Below are 18,056 nucleotides of genomic sequence, written 5' to 3'. Positions count from 1 at the left end.
AAAATCACTTTGAGTCCTGAACTGTTAAGTTTAACCAACATGAGCTTGAACTACCTGACTTATTTATAATAAATGTCACAGTACCAGCACTCCCAACATCTTATTCACACTGAATGATCTTAGTCTTAATATACAAGCAGTGAAAATAGCTGGAAATTTATATTTTTATTGAAATAGGATTCAGTACAGAGGGACTTGAGCCTTGTAAAATTCCAGGAAGTCAATTTAAACGGTAGAAATTGAGAATAATATATATAGCCAGCAATATCCTGAGTAATTTTTGGAGACCAAACGTAAATAAATGAATGAATGACCAAAACCTTACCTCCAAGAAGCTTACAATTTTATACAGGTGGTAACACAGTCTTATTTTGGTTCATTAGTTGCAACTAAGACATCATTTTTTAATACAGTAGTTATTTGGGTTACTACTCTTCCCTTGTGTTTTTAATTCCTTTCGTGGTGGCGGGGGGGTTGTTTGTGGGTTTTGTTTCCTCTTGTTTTTGTGTGCTTTTGAAAAGGTAACTGTAATCCATGCTTCAGTAAAAATTAATGCTTAGGGTTCAGGAAAATATTATGGTTTGCTCTAGTTTTCAATTCATGATGCAGTTTGCTGTATGTTCTCATTTCAAAATACTTGTTTCTAGCCTGGAGTGACCTTTCCCAGCAGTTTCACTGTTACTCCTGAGAGTGGCTGAGGAGAGTAGAGGGGTCAGAGGTGGCAGATAAGAAAGTCTGCCACACTCACTGCTCAGATTTTTCTTCCTTATCTCCCTTACCTGCTTTTTCTCCCTTACCTTCTCTTCTGCTGTTTTATCCCCTTATATCTGAAAGTACAAGAGCTATCATTTGGTATTATCTGCCTAGGGTTTCTTGCCATTCACACTAAAAATCAGAATTTATCTGTCTGAGGAAAATGAAACATGCAAGACAGCAGGTCATCACATAGTTGTCATTATAGTATATTTGATTTTATATTCTAATTCAGACCTCTTTTGATTCCTTTCCATAAAGTAAGTTGATGATGATGGCTAAAATTAAATTAAAATTACCACGTGTCAAGAATTGTTCCAGAAACTTTACATGGATTATATCATGAAGGTCACATTATGGTCCCCATTGTCCAAATGAGAAACAGAGGCACAGAGAGGTTAAGTAACTTGCCCAGTGTCACAGAGCTAGTAAGTGGTGGTCTGATTCCAGAGTCCAGTCTCTTAACTTCTACACTGTACTAAAATCCTCATATGGAATATCTGTGAAGACCACAAAAAACTTTTTACACAATGAAAGCAAAGTCCCAGAGTCTATTCGTGATAGATTTTAGAGAAATTCTACTCACCTCTATTTTTAATGTGTTGTGACAAGTCTCATAAATGAAAAATGATTTAAGTTTCTGCTCAATTATAACAACAAACAGAGCAAACCGACTTCAATTAAATACTTTATTAAGAAAAATCATTATGGGTTGATGCCTCATATACCAAGTTGCTAGCTTATCCTGACTTTTTCTGGAAGCCTGAACAAAACCTTAACTATAACTGCACATCATGGTTTTGCTGTATTAGGTCTTTACTGCATATTACTTACCAAGTAAAAACATAGCTCCTTTTTTTTTTAATGCCATATGTATACTAATCCAAACCTTGCAGAAGATATAATACAGTAGAAGGATATTTTCAAATGTTCAGTTGTATCCTTTTATGATTTTCTACATAAGACACATCCCATAAATACAGCTCTAGAAGCTTGTCCTGATACTGTATGCACTAAAATATGAAACTGACAACCAGACCATTCTTCCTAAATTGTTTTCTCTACTCTCCTAGAAGATTGGGCATTATAGCACTGTGGTTAAAAGCCTGGATTCTGGAGTCAGAGAGACCTGGCTTTAAATACTAACTGTACCATCATTATCTCTCCAACCTCAAGTAATTGACACAACCTCGCCCAGCCAGTGCCCTCATCTGTAAAATAAGGGTGATAATAATAGTACCTGTCTCATATGGTCATAGTAAGGAGTTAATTAAACAATTGATATAAAGCATATAGCACAGTGTCTGACACATTGCTTAATTTAGCAGCAGTTATTATCGGACCAAAAGATTGGAAAATCACCTTGAGGTTTTTGAACTTCATTGACATTCCGTTAGGTGCTATAGAACCTGCTTTCAAACCACTATGAACTTTGCAGTGAATGATGACCTTCTTGAGATCGAAGTGTTTTCTCTCTTTAAAGTTTGGTCTCTACTCACCAATCTAAAACCTATTATTTTTAAACTGTTACCACTATCATCATCAGATAATGATGAATGGCACTTTCTTTTATTATACTTTAAGTTCTAGGGTACATGTGCACAACGTGCGGGTTTGTTACATATGTATACATGTGCCATGTTGTTGTGCTGCACCCATTAACTCGTCATTTAACATTAGGTATATCTCCTAATGCTATCCCTCCCCACTCCCCCCACCCCACAACAGTCCCCAGAGTGTGATGTTCCCCTTCCTGTGTCCATGTGTTCTCATTGTTCAATTCCCACCTATGAGTGAGAACATGCGGTGTTCGGTTTTTTGTCCTTGTGTTAGTTTGCTGAGAATGACGGTTTCCCGCTTCATCCATGTCCCTACAAAGGACATGAACTTATCCTTTTTTATGGCTGCATAGTATTTCATGGTGTATATGTGCCACATTTTCTTAATCCAGTCTATCATTGATGGACATTTGGGTTGGTTCCAAGTCTTCGCTATTGTGAATAGTGCCGCAGTAAACATACGTGTGCATGTGTCTTTATAGCAGCATGATTTATAATCCTTTGGGTATATACCCAGTAATGGGATGGCTGGGTCAAATGGTATTTCTAGTTCTAGATCCTTGAGGAATCGCCACACTGTCTTCCACAATGGTTGAACTAGTTTACAGTCCCACCAACAGTGTAAAAGTGTTTCTATTTCTCTACATCCTCTCCAGCACCTGTTGTTTCCTGACTTTTTAATGATCGCCATTCTAAAGGGCTAATATCCAGAATCTACAAAGAACTGAAACAAATTTACAAGAAAAAAACAAACAACCCCATCAAAAAGTAGGTGAAGGATATGAACAGACACTTCTCAAAAGAAGACATTTATGCAGCCAACAGACACATGAAAAAATGCTCATCATCACTGGCCATCAGAGAAATGCAAATCAAAACCACAGTGAGATACCATCTCACACCAGTTAGAATGGCGATGAATGGCACTTTTTAAAGAAACATCAAATTCTACTGGAATTGGTTTCCCATTAACAGTTGTTATATATATATATTATATATCTGCTTCTCATGAGAAAACAGAATTTTCTCACCACTTAGTTATCCAAATGAAAGAAAAAGAGTATTTGATTATAGACATTTAGTATGCTAAAAAATTTACGAACACTCTAGAATTTCAATAAGCAGATATAAGTCACAACCACATACTGTAATCTACCAGAAAAATCTCAGTTGTCAGTATTAAATATTTATAAAATTGAAAGTATTGTACCAAAATAGTCCCTCACTACATTAGAGTCTTACAAACTAGTCATAATTTTTTTTTTTTTTTTTGAGATGGAGTCTCACTCTGTCGCCCAGGTTGGAGTACAGTGGTGCAATCTCGGCTCACTGCAACCTCCGCCTCCCAGGTTCAAGTGATTCTCCTGCCTCAGCCTCCTGAGTAGCTGGGACTACAGGTGCCCACCACCACATCCAGCTAATTTTTGTATTTTTAGTAGAGATGGGGTTTCACCATGTTGGCCAGGCTAGTCTCAAACTCCTGACCTCAAGTGATCCACCTGCCTCGGCCTCCCAAAGTGCTGGGATTACAGACGTGAGCCACTGTGCCTGGCCTATAACTATTTAACCAGTAAACATTATGTAACAACTGCTTTAAACAGAGCAGAGGATATGAACAAATAAAAGACTTATTCCTAGACCTGAGTTATATAATGTCTATAAATAAAATTAAAAATAACTACCCCCACGTAATTTATCAATAAATTAGAATGTTAAAATCTTAAAGATTATCAAATCCAATATCCTTATTTAGAAATTAAGAAAATTAGGTCCAGAAAAGTTGAGATCACATAGAAAGAGCTGGGACTAGGAGAGAAGGTACCGAGTTTCACGTTTTATATTTTTCACCTGTTATTGTAATAGTATAGGATAAACTAAGTATATAAATTTCTGAAAAGGTTTTCAATAAGTATCACAGAGAAAAACTGAACAAGTAAAACAATTGATTTTATTCAGGCTATTGCAATAGGGAGGTTTGTCTTGGTCTTATTAGGAAGGGGTAGATGGGTTACATGTGAGATGATTTACTGGTGGGATCGTGTTGCAATCAGGGGAAGTATCAGTTAGCTGAACAGGAAATGTGTATCTTTGTTTCTAGCTAGTTTCAGGGAAACAGACAGTTCTAATCTCAACTAATTATTCATGAGACAAAGAATAGGAAATTGGAGGGTCTGTATACGGCCTTTCAGTGGGTTCAGGCAATAGGGGAAAAGTCTGTGTTTGGTCTTTTCAGGGGTGGAATTATAGGTGAGTCTTAGGGAAATCATGGGAAAGAAGGGACAGAGAGTTTTATCTTAAGTCATTTAGGGAAGGGTGTTTTGTATGTGTTTGTTTGGACTTTTGTTTGTTTGTTGTCATTGTTACGGTTTTTTTGCATAAGCCATTTCCCAGGACACAAAAAAGTGGGAGAATTTCGGAAAACAAAAGGTTGGGGAATTTCTTAAGCAAAATTGTTTTCCAGGAGCATTAAGGCTCAGGTAAAGTCTTGTATTGTCAGTAGCAATATAAATGGAGATGAAATTTATTGGGTAGTTGAGGATACTGAATTCCTGCAGGTTGGATGCCAAAATAGAACACTGGGAACAAAGAAGGATGGGTGGGGAAAGACAGAACTAAAGAATACTAAAAGCAGCCTTTATCTCCATTACAATTTTGCATAAGCCTGGCCTTGGGGGAAAGTGGCATTTCTTTTAAATTCATCCTGCACAATCTATCTCCACAAAGTTGAAAAAAAATGACGTTTTTCTAGTCAGTGTCTGCTGAATATATGACCATGTAAACAAAATACAGCTGATTGATATGACACAATTTATAGCCTGTCATGAAGATGCTTTAGCCAAGACCAAATAGTGACTACTGCCTCACCTCTCTAGGCTCCAGTTTCTCATCTGAAAAATAAGGGAGTTGGCTTTCAACCGTTTCTAGGGGCAGAGAAGAGGCGGGGCTAGCAGGCAGTGAAAACGTTTTTACAAATTAAATCTTACCCAGAAATTACAAATTTAAATAGAAAACAGATAAAAGCCAAGTTTCTCCAGATATGGCGAGGGAAGGGGGCAGATTCCTGGCAAAACTCCCGTTCCCTTCCTCTTTGCTTTATTTGCCCTCTATTCTCTCAGCAGCTGCTAAGGCTTTGACAAAACACAAGGCTAACTTATCTGTAAGATCCCTTTCAGCTGTACACACTATGCGTTAGTGTTCAAATTCTGCAGTTAAGGAAGAATAATGAGCCAATACAAGTAAAAGTGGACCTATTTTTGCAAAAGGGATATACTCCTGGAAAGAGGTTGAAATGTATATCTATAAAGTTTGTAAAACCACATTTGCCATTTAAAATACTTGCAGAGAATTCCGTTGCAATTCAAACAATTAATTCCCAGTTTCCTACCTTATAAGTTTGGAGTTTTGACATGTATATAACACAGCTTGCACTTAGCATTTACAATTGTAAAATACTTTAATGTCTTTTATCCACATAATAGTTTTATTCTGTGGCAGCTATCGTTACCTTTTCTTTTTTTTTTGAGACGGAGTTTTGCTCTTGTTGCCCAGGCTGGAGTGCAATGGCGCAATCTCGGCTCACCGCAACTTCCGCCTCCCGGGTTCAAGCGATTCTCCTGCCTCAGCCTCCCGAGTAGCTAGGATTAGAGGCATGTGCCACCATGCCAGGCTAATTTTGTAATTTTTTTAATGGAGACAGGGTTTCTTCATGTTGGTCAGGCTGGTCTCGAACTCCCAACCTCCGGTGATCTGCCCGCCTCGGCCTCCCAAAGTGCTGGGATTACAAGCGTGAGCCACCACGCCCAGCCGTGTTACCCATGTTTTATAGTTGAAAAGGAAAACACAAGAAAGTTACATGACTTGCCTTGCGCAATAGACAATAGACATAACTAAAGGCAGAGCTGAGATTGTGATCCAGTTTCTCCTTACTGTTAGCACCCTTCCTTGGGCTTTTTCTTTCATTTTTCAAAAAAATTCCTTTCTCAAAGCCAGTTTGTTTAAATAACGGCTATCTTGATTAAAAATCTCAATGCATACAGTTCAAATACTGTACTCTTCCTTAAGAGTACTTGGCAAATCTTATATTTCACATCTAAGATCTCCTTTCAGCGAGCATTCTCCCTCCTCCACAAAGCAAAAGATACACACACACACACACACACACACACACACACACACACACACCCCACAAGTACTCTTGGGAATTGAAAACTAAATGACAGTGCAAAATGTACTGTTTACAGCCACCTTTCATTGTGGACCTATCCAGAAGAGGGGTGTGTTTGTGTGTGTATGTGTGTGTTTTGCTTTTTTTTTTTTTTTTTTTTTTTTCTTTTGCTTTATCTGAGACATAAATGCCTTGGAACATTTTATACAATGCCAATTGTGGACCTGAAATAACAGGTTAAATTTTAATTTACTTAAGGTTTGGCAGATATTTATTTCACAGACCCAATCAGTAGATAAAGATTCATTATGTGGTACCAAACTAAAAAACTGCACCAACCCCACCCAGGTAATCATTGTGCATTCAGATGGAACGCAGTCCTGCAGTATAATTCTGTGGTTCTGCAATATTGGTTCATAGGACATGTGGATATTCAGCAGCCCTTTGAGTCAACCCATAGTTTCAGTATCTTTTATTTAAAGGATATTATAGCCCAAGATATTGAGGTAGAATTGGGAATAATTCATGTAAGCACAACAAACCACATGAATAAAATAGAAGTAATGCGCTAACAAAGACAACATTGTTGGGAGTGTAACAGTATTATTTTTAAAGATTGATGGCGAATTACAGTAAATGTTTCCTATAATGCTATATAGATGTTTCCCTAACAGAAGGTTTCAGAGGGCCCAGCTAGAGTGCTGCAGCTTGTTTTCAACTATATTAAATCACTTTATCAATATACTTCAGTTTTAACAAAAGCTTTCCTAAAGCATACTGGAGACTTGACTTCTAAAACAGATTTATGGAAAGGGTTCCCTATGCTGAAAGACAAACTTATTTATTGTATTAAAAATTCACGTTAAATGTCCTTGGTCATATATGTTTAGTGTTTCATTCTTGTTTCATTTTCATCCTCATTTTACTTAAAAAAAAAAAAAAAAACTAATACACACCTTTCCTGTGATGCAGTAAGAAATAGGTCTGTCTTGTGGTCCCTCTAGTCTAACAGTCTGCATCTGACAGGGTCACTAAGTGGTATGCTATAGAATGCCATGTTTATCCTCCTGGACTAGTCCTTTCAAAGCTAAGGGATCTTCCCATAACATTTTTACAACATTTTAGTTTTGTGGAGGAGCTAGTCCATTGTAGAGGTTTATCAGCCATGTGTATATTTAATTCTGTTGAGTATCCATTTATATCTTTGAACCTGTATTACTTTTCAAGGAAGTTTAAACATTTACTAGCCTTTTTTGTGGAGTCCAATGTAATTCTAGTTACTTGAAGTTTACTTTTGACTATGAAGTTTTACAGTTCCAGAATTTAATGCACAAATCTGCATTTTTCCTGCGTGTAACTTTTGTAATCTCCTAGATGATAATCACACATTCTTTTTTAGCCTACACATGTCTAATATTAAGAGTCCTTGCGTTTACTTCTGTATTCTTCTTGTAGCTTCCATTTTCCCTTAGTCATTTTAATGGTCATTTTCTATTTTCATTATAATTATACTGAAAGTGTCAGCCACAGCTATACACAGATACCATCTTCTCTTCTTGGTTCTAGGAGAGGGAAGAATAACAGTTAAAAAGTTGAGTTGAAAGAGAAACCATACCTGACCACCTCAAATGCTCCATTAAACTAATAGCAAGGGAACAAAAATGAAATTCTTAGTATTCAGAAACACAGAAGCTCATAATTTTTAATCCTGTATCAGCCAAGCTGCTACTTTAACTGTACTAAGTACTGTGGAAAGCTAACAAATAAAACAGAAGACATAGTGCTTGCCCTTGAGCAGATTCCCGTTACATAGGAGAGCTGGAAGAAACATGCATACATACACATACAATACAAACAACATGCAACAAACTGTTGTACAGAAATAAAAATAAGATGGTTAGGTGATTAACAGGCTTAAAAGAAAGAAGATTAAAATACGACTGTTTCTGGAGAAGTAGTTTGCGCCAGACCTTGGAAAACAAGAAAAATCACTCCTAGTGATCTTGAGGAGTACATTTTTAGGAGAATGGAATAATCGAATGGTAAGGGGGAAATGCAGATGGTAATAGCCTAGGTGGTAAGTGGATAATGAAACAATAGTGCAGCTGATAGAAACAGTTCAGCAAGGAAAGGAAGGAGATAAACAGTATGATAATTTGACAAAAGGGCAGTTGGGTCATGTTATTAGTTTTTTTACAAATTTTTCAAAAGAAGAGAGACTTTTTTTTTTTTTTTTTTTTTCTGAGATGAAGTCTCGCCCTGTCGTCCAGGCTGCAGTGCAATGGCGCGATCTTGGTTCACTGCAACCTCCACCTCCCGGGTTCAAGCAATTCTCCTGCCTCAGCCACCTGAGTAGCTGGGATTACAGGCGCGCACCACCACGCCCGGCTAATTTTTTGTATCTTTAGTAGAGACAGGGTTTCACCATATTGGCCAGGCTGGTCTCAGACTCCTGACCTTGTGATCCGCCCGTCTCAGCTTCCCAAAGTGCTGGGATTACAGGCGTGAGCCACTGCGAGAGACTTGTGTTTGTTTGAAGACAAAGAATGAGGAGCCAATAGAGAGGGAGACACCGAGTATGAGTAAGAAAGAAGATTGCAAAAAGACCAAAGTCCCAGCATAAGCAGGAGAGAAGAGGAGGGAGGAGCCTTAGAGATAAACTGGGACATCAAATTGGATGGCATACTGAGTATGAAAGAGGCATTTTGGTATTTTAGAAATAAGAGATAGGAACTGAAAAAGAGGACACAGTAAGTGTGGTAGCATCTATTATTATTATTATTACTCTCTGACATGGGTTTTGTCTGTGAGAAGTTTTAATTCATGTAATTGAAGATTTCTGCATGCCTAAAAGGTAGAAATCAAAGGCTATAGCAATATGGCAAGTCTGGAGGACTAGTACAAGATATGCCATTCCCTCATTACTCTCAACTATGTCATGGGTAGTTCATCATATAATTGTTTTTATTAAATGCCCAATGAGTAGCTGTCGAAAATTTAGACAGATGTGAATGTTCTATCCTCTGGGGACTTATATTCTAAAATAAAGGAGAGGGAACTGGATTAACTGAGCTATAATCAGCCATCCTGCCACCATCCAAAGTTAAGAATGATGTGATAATGATAACTGACATATAACAGTATCTAACATTGTATGAAATATAGAAAATGGGCATCCCTGATGTGTACTACCAATCACACATTCTAAAATACTGGCCAGGGGATAGTTCAGCTTCTAGGTAGCAGGTAACATTCTAAAACCACTTGGAAATACATCAAAACTCTTGTGACAGTACATGATGGTTTTTGTGTATATGCTATGCCAATTCACACTATCTAACTGTATTTTTGTGACAGCTTTATTGAGATATAGTTTATATAGCATAATATAATTGTGCACTAATTTAAAGTGCGCAATTCAGAGATCTTTACCCTATTCAGAGTTGTGTAGCAATCACCAATATTTAATTCTAGAACATTTTCATCACATCAGAAAGAAACCTCATAGGCATTGGCTGTCACTCCATATCCCCACCTCCTTCCAACCCCTGGCAACCACTAATCTACTGTCTCTATAGATTTGCCTATTTCTACATTTCATATAGAATCATATAATATACAGCAATGTATCAATACTTCATTTTTATGGCTGAATAATATTCCATAATATAGGTATACCAAATTTTGTTTATCCATTCATTAGTTGATAGATCTTTTGTGGATTTTCACTTTTGGGCTATTGTGAATAATGATTCTATGAACATTCATGTGTAAGTTTTTATTAGAAAACCTGTTTTTAATTCTTTGGAGTATACACCAAGTTGTGGAATGACGGGGTCATATGGTAATTCTGTGTTTAACATTTTATGTTTAACAGTTCTTCAACTGATGAACTGCTTTCCAAAGCAACTGCACCATTTTACATTCCCACCAGCAATGTATGAGAATACCAGTTCTCCACATCCTTACACTTGTTATTGTCTGTTGTTTTTATTTTAGCCATCCTAATGGGTGTAAAATGGTATCTCATTGTGGTTTTTATTTGCATGTCCCTGATGAATAATGATGTTAAGCTTCATTTACTGTTCTTATTGGTCATTAGTCTGTCTTCTTTGGAGAAATGTCTATTCAGATCATTTGCTCTTTTTTCAATTATTTAACTTTTTATTGTTGAGTTGTAAGCCTCCTTAATATACCATAGATACAAGCCCCTTATCCAATATATCATTTGCAAATGTTTTCTCCCATTCTGTGGGCTGTTTTTCCACTTTCTTGATAGTGTCTTTTGAAGCACAAAAGTTTTTAATTTTTTTTTTTTTTTGGAGATGGAGTCTAGCTCAGTCGCCCAGGCTTGAGTGCAGTGGTGCGATCTCGGCTCACTGCAACCTCTGCCTCCCGGGTTCACGCCATTCTCCTGCCTCAGCCTCCCGAGTAGCTGGGACTACAGGCACCCGCCACCACGCCTGGCTAATTTTTTCTATTTTTTAGTAGAGACGGGGTTTCACTGTGTTAGCCAGGATGGTCTCAATCTCCTGACCTCGTGATCCACCCGTCTCGGCCTCCCAGTTCAATTTATGTATTTTTTTCTTTGTTATTTGTGCTTTGATGTCATGTCTAAGAAACTATTGACAAATCCAAGGTGACAAAGATTTATGCCTGTATTTTCATTTGAGAATTGTACAGCTTTAGCCCTTACATGTAGGCATTTGATCCATTTTGAGTTGTTTTTTGTATATGGTATGAGGAAGGGGGTCACGTTTATTCTTATGCATGTGGATATCCAGTTGTTCCAGTATCATTTGTTGAAAGTATTATTCTTTCCCCCATTGAATTGTCTTGGTGACCTTGTCGAAAATCAGTTCACCATAAATGTGAGGTTTCATTTCTAGATTCTCAGTTGTATTCCATTGATCTATATATCTATCCTAATGCCAGTACTCATTATCTTGATTAGTGTAGGTTTGTAATCAGTTTTGAATCAGGAAGTGTGAGGCCTCCAATTTTGTTCTTTTTAAAGATTGCTTTAGTTATTCTGAGTCCCTTGCATTTCCATATTAATTTTAGCATCAGCTTGTCTATTTCTAAAAAAAAAATGAGAGTTGGAATTTTGACAGGGACTGCATTGAATCTGTAAATCAATTTGGGAAGTACTGCCATCTTAACAATAATAAGTCTTTTGATCCATGAACATAGGATATCTTTCCATTTACTTAGGAAATATTTAATTTCTTTCAATTATGTCTTGTAGTTTCTCAGTATACAAATCTCACAGTTTCTTTTACTGAATTATTCCTAAGTATTTTATTCTTTTTAATGATATTACAAATGGACATTCTCTTCTTAATTTCACTTTGGAGTTTTCATTGCATATAGTCATATTTATTCATAAATCTTTGGATTTTTTTGCAATTGGCAATATTTTCTTTCAAGAGATATTTTATTCCACCTTGACCCATGAGTCTGAGTAAATGTTTGAATATGTAACAACTTGATGATACATTTGTGCTTTATATCAATTTTAGTTTTCACCAAGAAAAGTCAAAGTAATTGGCTACTTCATGTACCCATTTGTAATCCGTATACAGAAACGTCTACAAATGTAATTTGTATTACACCGTGTGAGATTGTATAGCAAGTCACAAGAGCCTTAAGTTTGGAAACTCATTTTTCTGAATGCTACCTAATGGTCAACAGACCACACCAGAAGAACTGTGAAACTAAAGTTTTTGGGAATGTGGAAGTTTTTACAACAAAATTTAAAGAAATCCTTCTAAATAGAGAATTGTGTCTTTTAAATGATATAGCTTCAAAAACAGATATACAGAGTCAAAATGCAACTCAAAATAAGTCCTTTAATTAAGGATAAGATTTTAGCAATGCCATTTTACTTCTACCTGAGAAGATGTAAGCAATACTAAATAAGCTACTGTACTGGTATCTGTAGTCTTTTGGTGTTTGGACATAATTGTTTACACTTATACAAGTAATGTATTTCTCAATTGTAAGATTAGTTAATTAACTTTTCTACACAGTGAGCTATCTATTATCAGTGTCATATCAGAGGATTTTATTTACAAACATATTTTATTCACAGTTAATTGCCAAGGCCTATGTGTGTAAATAGTTATAATTCTTCCTCTCACCAGTAAATTCTTGACATCTACTTACTGGACATTTAATAAAAACAATTATATGATGACCTACCTATCACATAGTTGAGAGTAATAAAAAAAGTTGTACGTTTTGACTAAAATGTCAAATATATTATCAAAATTACTATCAACAAAAAAATTATCAACATTACTAATTTATTAATGTATCCAAGCAGTGTTTACCAAGTTCCCACCAGGCGCAAGGTTTATTCTTTTCTTTTTCTCTTGACTACTTTTGGGTAATATAATGGATACAAAAGCATGTGTAATCCATAACCCAGAAAATCTACCCCTGAAAAATTGAGAGTTGAATACATATTTCTCTTCGATAGTTCACGTAAGGAAAATTACATTAAGCTACATAGATGGAAACAGTAGCTTTCCACCTACCTTTCAGATGGCTTTTGCTATACCCCTTTGAACCCTTTAAAGCATTTAATCACAGGGAAGAGGTTAGTTCCACCTCCCATTTTGCTCCAAGCACTGCTAATCTAAATTTGCGAAGACTTGTTACTGTTAAACAAGTATTATATTCAGAGGAACATAAAGAAGATGATACTTATATCGTGAGACACACACTAGGTCTAATTTGGCTGAAAAACACACCAATATCTTTTAAAGATTTTGAGCATGTTATAGGGTGAAGTAAAGGACAAATATGCTCTGAATGCATATATTTCTTCTCTTTGGAAAACATAGCTTAGATACTTTGTGAAACTTGCAAATGTCTTTAAAATACAACTCAGATTGCTGTTATGGGCTATACCATAGCCTTTAACTTGATCATTTTTACCTTAAAATGTAATGGTGGAATCTTTTTAATGACCATGTTTCACTATCTTCTATCAATATTCAACCGAGTTTTGCATAGGATCATTGAATGTACCACGTCTAGCTATATTAAATAGAAAAAATAAATATACACATATGTGCAGAATATAGTTATTTACCTCCTATTTTATATGAACAATGTCATTAGTAATCATGTAATTAGTATTCAAGTGTGTGTCTGAGTCTAGATATAATGGAGTCTTGATTTAGGTGATACCGCCACTGCACACATTGTCTGTCACCAATTCCAGGCCCCTTTTTTTTTCACCTTCCAAGTATCTTGACCTTTTCTTTTGGAACTGAGTTACCATCACTTAGTGTGCCCTCTTTCAACACAGCCTGTCTACCATTGGTTTTTCCTGCTCAGCAGTTGATGCCTGTGTTGCAACCTATAAAGAGAGTGTTTAGCTCAAACTAAATTGGTGGATATTGGTGAGACTGTGATAACTACAGTACTGCACAGCTTGATATGATCTGTGGCTCTCTGCATTTAATCTCAAATTTGTGCAAGGAAGTGTTCTATAACTGGAGAATATGGTCTTCCTAGGTTTTCCAGTATGCTTTAGTAAAATAAGAGATTAAATGCCAATTAGAACAGGCATATTGCAAAAATAAATAAAATTGTACCTGGATGCTGTATTCTATCTCTGCTGTTTACAATTTGCAAACAAAGGATCAGAGTCAGTGTTAAGTTTGGCCAAATAGATCCCATTTACCTATATTAATACAGAAATTTTTGGAAAAAAAATCCTTTTTTTTTTAACTGGAGACAGGGTTTTACAATATTGGCCAGGCTGATCTCGAACTCCTGACTTCAGGTTATCCACCCGCCTTGGCCTCCCGAAGTGCTAGGATTATAGGCATGAGCCACCGCACCTGGCCTCAAAAAATACTATTTTGTATTGTTTTTCTACATTTAATTTCCTTCTCTTTAGTTTGCCACACCTTTTGGCTACATTAAGGAAAATAGTTAAATAATGAATTCATAGTTATTGTACTATAGTCTATAACAAATTTTGAGAGATGATAAAATGGAGCAGTCTATTTAGTGGTCTAGATTGCTAACAGGGAAATATCTTCCTTTCTGATGCATGAAACTCTAAAGGGTAAGAGGCTGAGAAATTTTCCACCTACAAGCTGTGAGAATGTCTCTTCTCTAATACCAAATCACCACAACTAGCTTGCTTTGCCTATTTTTATTTAAATTACAGTCCACGTGCTCATTCGTATGTTGTCATCTCTGTTCATCTACCTTGTCTTAGCTGTAATGAAGCTTTCAAGGGATGAGATCAACTTCTTTTAAAATTATTTTCATGAATAACTTATGCATATGTACTCCAGATACATAGACTTGCTAATAAACAGAGAAGCCCAACAACACAACTTCCTTTCTTTTGATTTATTGAATAACATTTAAGTAGCTTCATTATGTAATATATGATGCTATAAAGTGCAGAATAAAGAGATGGTGTAGTATTTGGTAAGGTTTTAATATAAAGGTTAATGTCCATCAACCAGTTTTGTTCAGATTTTTAAAAAATGACAATATCTATTCATTAAAGTCTATTCTTAGCACCTTTAAAACAGTGTTTGTCAAACCTAGAACATTTTGAATTGTTTTATATTTATAATATTGTTTGCATAACCAAATGATGCATTTTAAGATTGATAAAAGCCCCTAATGAGGATAGCAGTTGAATAAACTGAACATTAACTTGCGAACAGAAGTGCCACATAAACATGGTCTGTTAATTGTCTGCTCATTGAAGACATTGTCAGCTCTAGGACTTAAGAGTTAAATGTATAATCAGCCCTTTAGGGGCCAAATTGATCTGTCTCACATGGAAAAAAGTAACTTTCAGTGAAAAATAAGGTCCTCAGTTGGTCATTTATCATTTCAAAGAGCCTATTTTATTATAAATGTCAATTCCACAAAATTATGTGTCCTGTAATACATAATTATGTACAAAATTGCATTTGAAATCTATTATTAACAGTTAACAGTGAACATTCTTAAAATAGTTATTACTGTTGGCCTTAACACAAAAAGCAATAATGGAGGTATTTTAGGGAGTTAAAAGCTGCAAGGCATTGGCCACTGAATAAAGCCACTGCAGGTGTGTTTCTTAATGGGCTGTTAACTTTATAATGGGTGAGCACAAAGAACAGAGACCATGTGTGTTTTAAAACTGTGTTTGGTCTGGAGAAGGAGTTGATGGCTGAAAAAAATAAAGGTGATGTGAAATGAGGCCAAGTTGAGCTTTCTCACCTGAGATGTAACCCTCCTTGCTTAAAATCAAGGCAAACTAAATCTTGCTCCTCCTCTTGTATTCCTACCCTCCCCATTACCACAAAACAAAAAATTCCATGAAAACACATATTAAACTGGCACATCAGAAATCATTGGAAAATATGACAATAAATAATAAAGCTCTGATTGCCCAAACTCAACATCCTCCCTCACAGACCAGCTCCTGTTTTTGCTATTAGCACTGTCTAAATCCCCCAACTCACAATCACGGGGTTAGCTTTGACCCTCCATTGGCCCCAACACTTAATGTTCTCTAGAGCTTTGCTTCTCAGGGTGTGGGCTGTAGACCATGCGACATGGGCATCACTTGGGAACTTGTTAAAAATGTCTGACTTTGGACCTTCTGAATCAGAATTGTATTTTAAAAAACTGCCTTCTTGTACGCATTAAAGTTTGAGAATCTCTACTGCAGTATCTTCCTTAGCATTGTCTCTCATATCTTCTCCTTCTTTCCATTCACATGAAATTATTTTTCACTGAGATGTAGTTTTTCTATATGAGCTGTTTGGGCATACCCTAAATTTAGATCTTCATGTCATTTCACTTGAATCACCCATAATTCCTATGTCATTCTTGTGTCCGTCTGCTCTAATTCGTCCCACCTCTGCCTCAAGATTAGCCTTTCTAATGTACCCAAACCTCTTCCCTCTTCTGAAAAACCTTTAATGGCTTTCTATCCTTTATTAAATAAACCCTTTTGACTGGTCCTCTAGGCCCTAGACAACATGATTTCCTTCTTCCCTCCAGCCCTAACTCCAACTGCTCCTCTCTATAGACACATACCCTACACCTTAGCTTTACAGTTTCTTTCCTCTTTTTAGTTCAAGCCATCCTTTCCATGTGCGCCACTCTTCCCAATAACTCTTTTGAAATCCTTGTCCTCCTCTAAGGCTCATCTTCAGTGCCACTTCCCATAGTAACTTTTTCTCATTCATCCATTTGTTCTATGAATACATATGTATCGTCTATGTTCTTTGCCTACAGTTGCCTACATTGTTCTAGGTACTGGGAATATACCGACGAATAAAACAGCCACAGTGCTTGTCCGCACAGAGCTTACTTTCTATTGAGGAAAAATAGACAATAAACAATAAATAAGTAAAATATGTAGTATGTTAGATGGTGATAAGTGCTAAGGAGAAATACAAGAAGATAAAGAGGATAGAGATAGCTAGAGATGAGGAGTATCCTCCAACCAAATAACTTTCCCTCTTTCAAATACACAGAGCACTTATTTTTCTTTACAGTGAGGTTATATGTGCTTGTCCTATTTTCCCTATTTTCAATGCTCCTTGAGAGCAACAACTGCCTCTTACTCATCTTTGTATCTCTTGCAGCTACCAAGACAGCACTCAGTAAATAATGGTTAAAAGGAGTGAAATTGATTGAAATAAATGCAATAGGGTTTGAAGAGAAGAGAGAGACTGACATAGTGGGTGGTTGGGGAAGGCTTCTTAGATGATATTTAATTTGGGCAAGGCCTTGAAAGACAGATGGGGTGGGGAGGAAGAAAAAGCTGAGTAAGTTATTTTGATATATCTGTTCTTGAAAAGCTAAAAACCATTGCTTTATAAATTAAGATTAACATGGTGTGTAATTTTCTCTACCTTTAAAACTAGTGTTTCAGAAGGGACGGGCGATAGACACTGGAGAAGTTGACATTGGTGCACAGGTCATGCAGACCATTCCACCTGGTTTATTCTGGCGTTTCCAGATTACTATCCACCATCCAATATATCTGAAGTTCAATATTTCTTTAGCCAAGGACTCTCTGCTGGGAATTTATGGCAGAAGAAACATTCCACCTACACATACTCAGGTATTTGATATTATAGGTATTTTCTTAAACCCTTTTCAAGGGTGATGGGTTGAACAGTTCAGGGTTTGTGACTTATGAAATATGTGGTTGTCAAAGGTAAGGACAGAAAAATATTTGTCATGAATAAATATCCAGAATAATTACACTGAAACTAATGAAAAAAATGACATGGAGAAATAAGGAATAACATTTAGCAGAGCAGATTCAGAAAAGAAAGTTTAAGACACACCCTTTAAATTTGACTTCTGCTTCCTGGAACCGGCTGTTCATGAGCTTCCCAGACCTCTCATCTTGCTTAGCTTTACTGCCCACAGTCCCTTCACTGATTTCATACATCTGTGTCCCCTTTTCCCAATGAAGGAACGCATATTAATCAGAAATTAGTGAGAAATTAGTCAAAAAGTTAGGTTTTGTCTTACAGGTAGAAATTTTTCTTTACTGTTGTTAATAACTTAAATGTGTAAAA

General features: G+C 36.3%; 1 protein-coding gene across 13 annotated transcripts in view; it reads left to right on the top strand.

The window, feature by feature from the left end:
- The window catches only part of TENM1 (teneurin transmembrane protein 1), an 828,410-nt gene that overhangs the window by 533,139 nt on the left and 277,215 nt on the right, over nt 1–18,056 (top strand). For all 13 annotated transcript variants that reach the window (XM_017029210.3, XM_017029211.3, XM_047441760.1 and 10 more), the window contains one exon: nt 17,391–17,590. In XM_017029210.3, coding sequence (XP_016884699.1) covers nt 17,391–17,590 — 200 coding nt within the window. The remainder of the gene's footprint in view (nt 1–17,390; nt 17,591–18,056) is intronic.

The sequence above is a fragment of the Homo sapiens genome, chromosome X (genome assembly GCF_000001405.40).
Source record: "Homo sapiens chromosome X, GRCh38.p14 Primary Assembly".
In the NCBI taxonomy this organism is placed as follows: domain Eukaryota; kingdom Metazoa; phylum Chordata; class Mammalia; order Primates; family Hominidae; genus Homo; species Homo sapiens.
The sequence above is the reverse complement of the archived record's forward strand: the minus strand, read 5'-3'. Positions and strand labels throughout refer to the sequence as shown.